The sequence below is a fragment of the Homo sapiens genome, chromosome 3, assembly GCF_000001405.40.
Source record: "Homo sapiens chromosome 3, GRCh38.p14 Primary Assembly".
Taxonomy (NCBI): domain Eukaryota; kingdom Metazoa; phylum Chordata; class Mammalia; order Primates; family Hominidae; genus Homo; species Homo sapiens.
The window spans coordinates 191,529,345-191,542,612 of NC_000003.12; the positions used below are offsets into that span (position 1 = coordinate 191,529,345).

Here is a 13,268-nt window from a genome sequence, read left to right on the forward strand (position 1 = left end):
ATATTCTAGGGATGCAAAATCCATGCCTATGGAAGACCAACTTTTCATTCGCACAGGTTCCGGAGGGCTGACTGTGGGGCTTTGAGTGCGTGCAGACTTGAGTCTATGTAGGTAGTCCTGGAACAAATCCCCTGAGTATATTGCGGGACAACTTTACAATTTTCTTATATACTACTTGAATTTTAAGGCTTTTTCTACGTTTCTATCTCAGAGAAGCCTCTCTCTCTCTCTTCTCCTAATCTAACAGTTCTTAATTTACTATCTTCTTATGGCACTTATCATCTTCTGACTTCCATTATTGTTATTTGAGGCAATATAAAATAATAATCGTTGACTTTGATATTAGATTGATTTGGTATGAAATTCCAATTCTCTGACCAATATTTACATAACAGATTAGTTTTCTTAAATTCTTAAAGCCTCATGTTTGTCATTATTAAAATAGAGACAATCATACCAAACTCTTATGTTCTTATGAGGACTATGTGAGATAATATATGTAAAGTGTTTAGCACAAATCTGAAAAAGAATAAATGCTCAGTAAATTGTAGCAGCATAAACTTTTATCATCTCTTTTATTAAATTTCAGCCTCTGTAGAGTGAACTTCTTCATATTAATCTATTTCTGCCCTATAAAGTCAGAGAAGTTAAGAAATAATACCAACATGGTTGCTGTAGAGAGTAGATTCCTGAATTATAAGCACATGTTATATAGATAAAGCACTTGTTAATTACCCTCTATCAAGGCTAGTCTCTCTGTCTGAGTGAATATCGATTATGGAGAAGTTCTCGACCTTTCCTGTTGGTTCATTGGTTTGTTTGCTTCTTGCGTTTTGCTCTGGTACATCTGATAGATGAGGTTGTGCAACACCTAAGAGTTGCTCTAACTTTGTCTCCCATATAAGATAGTAAACGGAAAGGCAAGAGAGTGTGACTGAAGTTATTAAAAGGGAGCTTTATATCTGTTCCAATTTATAAAGGAAAGACACACCATTAAAAAAAAAAAACCTCTCACGCTTTAGGTATTACTGTACCCAAATTATTTGTAATATACTCCACAACTGATGCAAATCATGAACATGTGCCATGACTCAGTAGTTGAAAGAAGTTTTAATAATTTCTATTTTTCAGAGATCAACTTTATTTGACCTAAGTGAGGAGAATTTTCAGTTCCTTAATTTCTTTCTATTATCTTTTTAGTGTTTTGATTATCCAATAACATTTCTTTTCTTTTACAATTTTTATTCTTATAATCATATCTGAGGTTGTTTTCTATATAGTTAACACACTGGATAATTCCAAATTTTTACAATACCTATTTTCATTTTTATATATTTTCTACCTGTCATTATAATTGCTTAAATCAGTCATCTCTTGTTTATGTTCATTTTCCCAAAAGAAAAACCTATTTAGTTTACACATTTGTCTCTCTTGGTGTCTTACACAATACCCTTTTTTTTTTTTTTTACAGTATTTAAGTCAACAGATGGAAGAGTGTCATGGAAGGTAAATCAGACAATGAGATAATTCACCAGAGACTCACATCCAGGCATATGTATTGTTCCCTCTATATAACTGAGCAGTAGTATTTCTATTTAGTTCAGAGCAATAATAAAGAAATTTCAGAAAAATTCAGAATTTTAGCAAAATTTGTTAACTTCTTTAGCGTTGAAGATGTCTATTTACTTAGTCACAATGGAAACTCGGCCTCATTCTACCTTCAAGGACACACCTGGTAACTAATTGCAAGATGCTTGGAAAGATAGAACAATACAAGAACTGAGCCAGAAAATGATATTTCTTACTGTTTTAGGTGTATTCTTCTTTGGGGACAACTAAACAATGTACATCTCCTGAGAAGGTGACTTTGAAATTCAGCTCTGAAAAAAATGGCTCCAATTTCTTAGATGCAGTGAGTGCATCTGGAGACTGCAGTAGCTGCAGCATTAAGAACAAGGGTCTTCATTCTCTGGTGTAATAATCCTGGCCCACAGATAAGCTCTGATGATCATGGAGAGGAATTTAATCATCTACTCATTGTAGCCATCTATATTGTTTGTGGGGAACAGGCTCTCTGCTGAGAGAAAAATCTGCCAAGTTCAGATTATGGGTAAAACCATGGGAGATAGAATTAGCCTCACGAATTGTCAGGAGCTTTTAAGAGTTACTCACTCTTAAAGTATTTTAATGCTTAGGTATCTCAAAATTCAGCCATTATAGAAGCAAAGATAAATGTCAGTTTTAATCTCCCAATCCGTGATTTCTCAAAATGAATCTGGCAAACTGTTCAACATCTATCTTCCAGCGTGCCTGTGAGGAAGAAACTGGAGCAAAAAAGATGGAAACCCCAGCAAGGACGATGAGTAATGAAGATTGCACCTTTGCAATTTATCTTCTCTCTCACAAAATTAATGCTGGAATTCGAGATTACTGTGGGGCTGTTTATTAGTGATGACAACTGTATGGGCTTGGTTTGGAAAATGTGTTCTCTCCTGAGTTGTTGAGTCATGTGAGGCCATTTGCAGTTCTTTTTTTTTTCCCCCCTAAAAATGACAAAGAGTGATAATTTAATTTCTGAAGTCTAATGGCCACACAGCTATTTTTGCCTAGATTCCTTTCTTTTTCAAACAAAATAAGCAATTCTCCCTAGATACCCTTTGTTTCAGATACAAATCTCAAGATATAATTTCAAAGAATATGATGTGTTGAGAGGAAAAATGTTAAACATAGAACAAGAATTCAAATTTACAGAAAATAGTTTATTCAAAATACTTATTAAACATATTTTGTGTGAAGTATCATGCTAAAAATGTGGAGGTGGAGGTGACAAATATACAACAAATTTCTGAATTCAAGGAGTTTTTCATTCTATAAGGGAAGCAGACATGTAAAAAATAATGAGGAAACAACTTCCAGAACAGAGTCAGAGCAGCTTTGTTATAATGAGTAGCCATTTAAAGACAATATGATTATATAGAGATAATATGTATTAATTTGTTTATATAGATATATAAACAGCAAATAAATATTTTTGTAATTAAGCAGTCCCCACTTACATCTCGAATCCTAATCAAGGACACACAAGGGACAGCAATCATTCTCATCAGTAAGCCTCTCCTCCATAGGCAGCTATGTAGACCTTGGGCTACAACCAAAGTTTTGCTAGTTTTCATGCTGAATGCCAGAAATGGGTTTTCCTGGTGAATTTGGTGTACTCTTAGTTAACATGATTAGTAGATGAATGTTAGAAGGAGTCCTATATTGGTAAAATTATAGTGTTCTAAAAGAAATTGATTGTCAGGTATACTTAAGAGACACTTCAGACCCACGCATGAACAGTATCTAAGAATCTAGCAGGACCACTATTTTTTTTTTTTTTTTGAGTCGGAGTCTCTGTTGTTGCCCGGGCTGGAGTGCAATGGCACAATATCGGCTCAGTGCAACCTCCACCTCCTGGGTTCAAGCAATTCTCCTGCCTCAGCCTCCCAAGTAGCTGGGATTACAGGCACCCACCACCACACCCAGCTAATTTTTGTAATTTTAGTAGAGACAGGGTACCACTGCCTGTTGGTCAGGCTGGTCTCAAACCCCTGAGCTCAGGCGATCAACCCGCCTTGGCCTCCCAAAGTGCTGCAATTACAGGCGTGAGCCACTGCGCCCGGCCCAAGGCCACCATTCTTAACCAAAGAAACCCCCAAAGATCTAGTAGTTAGCTGGAAACTCTGATTTCTGCAAGCCCAGTGAAAACTGTAGGGGTAACAACTCTAAGGGCAACAGAATCCTGCTACTGGAATCTTGATATGGCTCTATCCAGTGAATTTTTCTTGTACTATAGCATTTTAATCACTGAAAGAATGAGAAGGCTGTATTTTTTTAAGCCCTAATACAGATTGCATAATTTATATTGTGCTAACTTGCTAATAAATGTTTAATTAATAAATGTCACTGTGTAGGCAAATTTGTCTGAGATTTGCTCTCTTTATAACTTGGTAACAAGGTTGTTGATGAGAGCTAACCAAACTCTAACTTCTTTAGCAACTACTGTTACCCACCAAAAGACCTTGGGCTTGGGCATGACAAGTAGGCTGAGGACAGTTCAAAAGAGCATCTCTACAGTTTGAAAGAGGGAATAATTAAGCATGTGAGTGGAGAATATATCTAGGTACCAGTAAATACTATAGTTCATAATTATGTCCCCTTTTTGGTATTGAGCCTATCCAAGATAAATTTTTTTTTCACCTTTTGAGCTGTTTTTCAACAATTGAGAGTTATTTTCTGGCAGCTGTAACTATGTGTTATGGGGCCATCCACCTTGGCTATTTTCCTTATTGCATATAATATAGTCAATGTTTCCCTGGAGAGAACATGGAGTCCAGAAAGAGAAGCCACATGAATGTCACATTGAGCTAATTGATTTTTGCCTTAATTTACATTTTTATATATTAGTTTTTATGCATTAGACTTCTAAACAGGTTTTATAATTTGATTTGCAAATTCATGCCTTTAGATAGCTATCACTTAGCTATCCAAAATCTTTTTTTATGACTTCCATAGAAATACAAAAAGCAAGAAAGTAGAAAATGTGTATTCAATCTTAGTATAAGAAGAGTTGGAGTGTCTAAAAATAATGAAGGAAAAGTGTAGCTATATTCATAGTGGATGGGAACAAATGGTCAACATTTTAGATGGCTATGAGAGGTAATGGGACTAGTATCTCTGGATGGTGGTAACTGGGCATTTCTGTTTCCTTCTCTTCCTGGAAGGGGCTTTTGCATGTCACTTACTATTATTTATCAATGCCTCATTAAATAGGTCATCTGTGTCCAGATTTAAAGTCTCATTTTCAGAAGGATTTCATGAACTTGGAGAGTTTCCAACAAGAAAAATCTGAAATAAAATGGAAAAGTGCAGACTAGGATTCATGCCAGTAGTACATCTAAGTTTAAAACTGTTATTAAAACCCATCGTTGAAAAGTTTGGTCAAAATTTTTGTTTTCCAACCTTGTCTGCATCTTAGAATTATGTAGAAATATTTAAAAAATGCTGATCCCCAGGCCACATACAAGATGAATGACATATGCATCTCTGAAAGTGGGCCCCAGGCATCACTATTTTTATAAGTGTCCAGGTAATTTCAGCATATAGCTACACTGAGAAATCACGGGTCTAAATGATAGCAAAAATGTTGTCAAATTATCTGACAATTTAATTGGCAAAGACATTTATGCAAATTTAAAACAATTTAAAAATAAAACTTCTGGCTGGGGAAAGTTGTGTTAAAGGTGAGATTGTTCAAACACTGTAACCAATATTTAAACAACATTTGAAAAAACATAAAGTAAGTCATGAAACTTTTCTGTACCAAGGATCCTAAAATTCTAGTTCATATATTTCTGGAACCATCAATAAGAAATACTCTAGAAATATATTTTTGTCCTTTGGTAGGAAGCAGAAAATGAAGGATGTAGTCATAGAGATTGGAATTATGGAGTCAACAGAGATAAATACATGTCACAAATGCGTGAAATAAATATACCTGCCATCTTCTTTTAAGTCTTTAGCTATAAAGATTACTTTTCTCCTCCATTCCATTCTAAAGTCATCCAGTAGGAAACAGAGGGATGCTTTATCATTGACTTTGACAGAAAACTGACATTGCTGGGATATAATAAGAAAATAGTGTCTACATGACCATGTCTTATTCTTTTGGATCTCTCAATATTAATAAAGTGATATAAAATGTCCCAATATATTTATGGAAATAGTTTAAGAACAATTGGTCAGAAATATTTTCACAAATAGCCAATCAACTTTGACATAGTTTTCAATGAATTCTAACATGCTAATTAGAACCATCTGTTACAGTGGATTCTGTGGATTTCTTTGTTGTTTCTCAAAATTATAAATGCTTCTAAGACTTTAGGAGACAATAAAAGTACTTTTCTACTTGCTCACCCCATTTTATTTCATATTTTTCAAGGAAGAATAATAGAATACATTACATCCAAGACCATCACGAATGCAAGTTTTCCTAGAATAGTTTAAACTTAATAGGTGCTTCCTTATTTCTCAGACATAACTGATAGTATATTAAAGATCCCTAGTTAGTCAACCTATAAAACAGGAGTTTCCTTAGCAATAACAGCACGGTGTTTTTTTTTTGTTGTTGTTGTTTTCTTTTTATGATGATGTTTGGTTCTAGATTTTCACCTATCCAGCCTGAGAATACCATTGTGGTGTTCTGTCTCTTTTGCATAGGATTCTTGTGTTCCCATTGAAAAGGAAGAAATGTTGATGATTTATCTAGGTAGCCATTGAAAGCCTGAATCGTCCTAAATTTATCTTGGATGACTTATCACTCCCTATTATTAAAAATATCCTAAAGTGTGACATGCAGAGAAAATGATACCTGTAAGAAGCTCATTAAAAAAGCTTCTTGGACATAGAAAGTTTCCAAACTTCTCCATACAATATCTTCTTTAGAGATTCATAATTCACATTCTGCAAAGACTACTGTTTGTGAAAATCTGATCTAAATCTATTCAGAGCGGACAGTATAAACATACTGACTATACTAAGAATACTGACTTGAACTGGTTAAGCATAAGAAATTGTGAGAAGAAAGACAAAAAAAATTACATCCTATACACACAGCTCCGAGAAGGGTTGTGTGAATAGTACAGAAGTGAATTGCCCATGTATATTAGTCCATTCTTGCATTGTTATTAAGAAATACCTGAGACTGGGTAATTTACAGAGTAAAGAGGCTTAATTGGCTCACCAATCTGCAGGCTGTACAGGAATCATGGTGGGGCATCTGCTCAGCTTCTGTGAAGGCCTCAGAAAACTGACAATCATCATCGAAGGTGAAGTGGGGGACAGACATGTCACCTGGCCAGAGCAGGAGCAAGAGAGAGAGAGGGGAGATGCTACACACTTTTAAATGACCAGCTGTCAAGAGAACTCACTCATTCACGTGAGGACAGTTCCAAGGAGGATGGTGCTAAACCATTCATGGGAAATCCACACCCATGATCCAATCACCTCCCACGAAGCCCCACCTCCAACACTGGGGATTAGATTTCAATATGAGATTTGGGTGGGGACACACCTCCAAACTGTATCAGCATGAATCCTCTTCTAACATAACTTACCATCTGATCGAGGATATAAAATAAGTCTAGAAAACATGAAGAAGGTTGTTTAGTGGGCCACAGGAGAGGTATAGATAGGAGGCTCTGAGTATTCTGTGCTAGGACAAATTATTACCAGCTGGATATGGGGTTGAATTAGAAATCGTCACAGTACAATAGCATTAACTGAACTTTAGCTGATACACTTGAACACGGAAGGAAAGCATTTTAGGGAGAGATGGATATATAGGTAAAGAGGCTAGAAGGTGTGGATCATATGTGGAACAGAGCAGTCTATATTTGGGTAGAGTGTAGGGTGGGAATAAATGGGAAAAGGCAAGAAAGAAATCTGTTTAGATTCTGAAGGGTCTTGAATTCCAGGCTCAGCAGTTAGCTTAGTAGATAGCTAATTAGTGGTAATTAGCTATAATTAATCATGTTTGTGCTGTGTAGCAATTAGGAACACATGGTAGCAATTTATCCCAATGGTCCCAATCAGTAGAACATACTCATCTGAACTTGAGAGAAGTATCAAATGAGAAGAAGAAATGGAAGTTAATACTGTTCTCAGGTCTTTAGAAAAGCAGTCCAGAACAGAGCTTCTCATACTTTATTGTGCATGCTCAGTACCTGGAATCCTTGGTCAAAGGCAGATTCTGACTCAGTACCTCTGGAGTGGAGTCTGAAACTCTTCAATTCTAGCAAGTTTTCAGATTCTAGTTGTTTTTTGTTGTTGTTTGCTTGATTGATTGGTTTTGCTCATTTGTAGACCACATACTAAATTGTAATTATTTTTAGATAAATGATTTCCAAACTTGACTGCATGTCAGAATCACAGAGCTTTAAAAGTCACCAGCGCCTGGAGCCTATTTAGATTCTGATTTAATTGGGTATTGGTATCAGTATTTTAAAAAGCTGCCCCCCTCTCCCCGCAACATTCCAATGCATGGCCAGTGCTGAGAGCACTGCTCTGGGTTATGTCTTCAGTTGGTGTTTCTCAACCCTGAATGCACATTAGAATCACTCAGGGAAGTTTTAAAAATACAACTGCTCAGACAGCATGGCAGATCAATTAAATAAGACTCTCTAGGGGAGGAACCTGGGTGCAGGCATGTTTCAAAAACTCCCCAGATGATTCTAATGTGCAGCAGAGTTTAGAATTACTTACCTGGAGCGATTTCAGATTTTTTAAAAAAATTCTTCTGTCCTGGCTGAAGAGATCATTTCAGAGGAAGTCTAAGCCTTTAAAGCTGTTTGAGAGCCAGGTGCACATCCTATTCCATTGTCAAATTACTGAAATTTAACAACCTGTATGTAGCTCATCAGGATACAAATCCTGCAGTATCAGTGCGAACAAGGGCAGCTGTTTAGTGCCTTTGGTTTAGAAGTGAAGAAATAAAGTAAATTTTTTTTCTGAAATAAATGGTGTTCAAAAATAAATACTTGTGAAGAGAGGATCCTGTTATTTTGTTGAAAGTCAGTGCACTTGAGTTCAGCAATCCCTTACAGGTCTGCATGGTGAATATGCAGCTACAGATATTCTCCCTAGAAACCCAGAAAATAACTATAAAATCACTGTAGACTAGTGAAAAGAAAGTGGTATTTGAATTAGGAGAACATGATCCGGCAGCGGGGATAGTGGTGAGATGGGAGGGAACTCAGAAGATTTGGCCCTCATTCTATTATTGACACACTTTTGTGCATCTCAGTTTCATGGCATATCAAATGGGGAAAAATGGCAACTATGTACAGGGTTGTGTAAGGACATAATATATATCATTATTTTGTTGTAAGCTTAAATGTGCAATACAAATGTCAACAATTAAAGCAACATTATATTCAGTACCTTAGGAGTGATGATAAATAACACTGATGGTGTTCAATCCTCTTTTTCCCCCTGTAATCATTGCTCTCAAGTGTGCAGGTGCTTGATACTGGTACTTAGAACTCTGTTTGTTTGAGATTTGATGAACAATCCTTAACATGAAATGATCATTTGGGAGGAAACCAGAGATGGGAGAAAAGTTGAAAAAGATTTCCATCCTGATCCAGCCTTACTTTATTTTTTATACCACTCAAGATGGTTTCATTTGTAGGGGTATAAATTATCATTGTGTCATTATTAGTAAAAAGTGAAAGTCATTATGCAGACATGGGTTAACAAGATTAAATTTGTGCTATTTGTGCTGAATAGATAGGTTAGAAATAGAAGTCTTTAGTTGTTTATGAACTTAGACTAAATAGGAAATCCATCGGGAATCAGAATTATTAATAGCAAACATTAAAACTGTTTAACATTGAGATATCATTCTGGTCTCTCAGAGATACTAAGTGGAATAAAAGCATGTTCTTGATCTTCATAATATGATTGTGTACTGAGTTGTCATTTCAACTAGGTTAATTAGGTATAAAAAAGTCACCCATGGTATTGAATTTAGAGATAAAACAAAACATGGCAAACACCATACAGATTCGTGATGAACAGACTTCTGAATTTCTTTTGTTTTTAACCTGGTCTTTTTCTCATAGTACTAATCATAAGATTCATATGATACCCAGAATTGGGGTGATACCAAGTACAGTCTCACATATTCAGATGACTTGATTCATTGATATACTCAGACGTAGAGATATGAGAAAAGGCTTGAATGTTAGACTTCTGATCTATAATTTTTGTAATAGCTGGAATCGGACAATATAATTTATGTAAAAAGGCCTGACATTGTGTGTGACACTTATTATGCAACCATTTTGGTTTTCTTCATCTTTAGTAATGTCAACCAATTGTGGAGCTTTTTTTTTTTTTTTTTCCCCAGGTCCCAGCAATTCTCCTGCCTCAGCCTCCCGAGTAGCTGGGACTACAGGCACATGCCACCATGCCTGGCTAATTTCTGTATTTTTTTAAGTAGACATGAGGTTTCATCATATCGGCCAGGCTGATCTCAAACTCCTGACCTCATGATCCACCTGCCTTGGCCTCCCAAAGTGCTGGAATTATAGGCGTGAGCCACTGCGCCCGGCCTGCAATTGTGGAAATTTTATTATGTCCCAGGTAACACTCGCCCTTCACAGGAATGTGTTTGTGATATTTATAAAAACTGCATGAGAAGGATATTGTCATTCCCATTTATCTCATGAGGAAATTGGAGTATAGAAAGTTTAAGTACTTGCCTATAGCCACTTAATTAACAGATGACAGAGCTCAGACTGAAGTCCAGGCAGTTCATCTTCATAGTCCACTCTGATCTTCAGGGTCCACTGCTGTTCAGTAAAAAAAAAAAAAACTATTCTTACTGTCTGATTCAAAGCTCTTTTATAATTTGATATTCAGTTAAAAATAAGAAATAATAGTTGTGCCTGGAATTGACTGAACAAAGAGAAATATGATATACCATTAATTAGACGGCCTATTTACCATGACCCATATGTCATCATCTCTTTAATGAACTTCTTTGATAACCATCTACTGTCTCAAAAACACACTTGTAGGCCATGGAGTCACAGCCTCTTAGAATTATCATTCATATGTATTGCCCTGTGTATTGAGGCATCCCACTCTTTGCCCCCCGACCCCCAGGCCCACATTTCGCTAATTGGAAAAATGAGGTCCACAGAAAGAAATGTACTAAACCATGACTTAAACTGACCTGTGGGAGCTTCTATCAGCTAGAAGTATTGTAGTTTCTTCCAGGGTCAAGAGTCATTTGCCACAGGATCAAGTCCATATTCTGTGCTCTAATGAATTGTAGCTGAAATCTCATACTGTTTGCTGTTTGGCCCACTGAGAACATTAAATCTTGGGTAGCTCAAAAGGCTCTTAGAGTCCTCCTTTTGATAGCATCTTTTCAATTCCTTACTCATTTGGCTTTTTCTAAATTCCTTGTATCTAAGAAATGATGCATCCTTGGCTTCTTTCTTGACTAGCATTTGGCATCACTTGTTGGCTTCTTTTATTATCTCTATTCTAGAAATTTTGTCAAATATTTACTGAGTTACTACTTGGGCAGTGTTAGTGCTAGTTTACTGGGGATGAGTGAACAAGGATGTCATAGCCCATAATCTCATAGAACTTGTAGTATAAAAGGTTACATAGACAAGTAAATAGGAAGTTACAGCCTATAGAGGTAAGCCTATGATGGCAGACGTAGCTCAAGATGAAGTGAACTCAGGGAGGTCTTTACAAGGGAGTGGATCTCTGAGCTGAAACATAAAGAAGGAGTAGCAATTATCCAAACTCCAAAAGTACAGGGACAGACCTGTATAATTGATCTCAGGACACTGAACACAGTGCTTGTCATATAATTAGAACTCAATAAATATTTTTAATAGATGAATGCAAAGTAAAGAGGGTAACAAAGTCTCCCTCCAAACTTTAGTCAAGCTTCTCTGAGCCATCTCTTTTTGACTATGCCTCATATTTGGGACCCGCTGTTGACCTTCTGTACCCAGTTTTAGCAGAGTCTTGTTATTAAGAATCCTCCCACTCTAGATATTTGATTACATTGTCCTGCCTTAACAAGAATCCCCCCCTGCCCTTGATATTTGATCAAGTTTTTCTTAGTAATTTTTTATCCTTGACTTTTCATTATGCTTGTTGGCTCTATATCTCCAGTGGTGTTTACTGTATTTGGAGCTGAGTTCAATCTCTTTGCTGTGTTTCAATAGTGTCTTCTCTTTGCTGTGTTTCAATAGTCTCTTCTCTATTGCAATAGTCTTGAATAAAATCTTTCTTACCATTTTAAGGAATATCATAATAATTTCTAACAAGGCCGAACATGTTTAAAGGCAAGATATAGGAACAATCAATTCACTTATTTTCTTTCTGCTATTTGTGAATTTTTTCTGCAAAAGAAGAAAAGAATTCCTACCTCATTGATTATTATGCAGATCAAAATAAATATAAAAATGGCATGTGTAAGATATTAAAACAATTCTGACATATAATAAACACCAAATACATAGTAGATATTATCTTTTTTTCAACTGTCATTTCCTCATGCTTTTGGTTATTCAAAATAAGCCTTGCCATCCTGGGATTTAGATAAGGTAAATGGGGCCCACATACTTTCTGAAAATATGTACAAAATTATGTAAATGTCAGTATAAACATTTATTTTACTTTGGGAGAAAATTTATAATTTTCATTGTATTCTCCAAATGTCTGCAACTTTAAAAGTATTACAAACCACCATTATATTTATTTTCAGATAGACTATATCTACTTTCATGGTTCCACATTGATAGTTTCCAAATACATTCATCATATCCAAATTTAATTCTATACCCCATTTCTATATTTGCTACATTAAGATTCAAACTTTTAGCTTATAATTCCTTCATTTCTTCTATCTCAACATCTATCCCAATTTGGTTCTTTTTCCTGAAGACTTTATTTCTCTTTATAATGCTTCTTTTCCCTCAGTCATGAGGCACATGCCTTGGAATATAGGTATGTACCTTTGTACGTAAACTGCTACTTTACTCCATGTAGCACTTCTGCACTTAAATGCTATGTTTTGCCAATTTTCTCTAGTCTCATTTTGGACCCTCTTCACTTTGCAGTGCAATTTTTTTAAGAGCCTCCTAACTGCTCTCCTGGCCCCTACCTGTTTTTCGGAGTTAGTTCATCTTTCATGGCATTACTATATTTTATCTTTAAAACTTTAGAAACGATTTTTCTGATGGTTCCTCTCCTGCCTAACTCCTTGTGAAGGCTGGTCCCCAGGTGGTCAAGGCATAGCCTTCTTGTATTTCCTGAGAATTTCCTTCCACTCTCTTTTCTGCCTTTCCAAATCCTAGCCATCTTTCATGCTCTAGTTCAAGTCCTACCAGTTTTTTAGGAGATTTCCTTGGTGACTATCTTTCAGTATTTTCCTTTTCTAACTTCTTACTGCATGGATCATTTCATACAGTTGAGCACTTTGTAGTTCTCTGACTGTGTGTGTGTGTGTGTGTGTGTGTAAATGTATATGTGAGTACACTTGCATGTGCAATGCTGTGTCTTCCCAGGCACGTGAAGGGGACAGGACCTGTCTTACATTTCATACTCCTCCAACCACCAGACTTTTTTAAAAAGGTAAAATATATTCAATCAATAATTGTAGCCGATACACAATCTTAACCATCACATAAGTA

At 36.0% G+C, this 13,268-nt stretch overlaps 1 long non-coding RNA gene across 1 annotated transcript in view; it reads left to right on the top strand.

Moving 5' to 3' along the window:
• PYDC2-AS1 (PYDC2 antisense RNA 1) overlaps positions 1 to 13,268 on the top strand; it is a 164,833-nt gene that overhangs the window by 103,821 nt on the left and 47,744 nt on the right. The window lies entirely within an intron of this gene.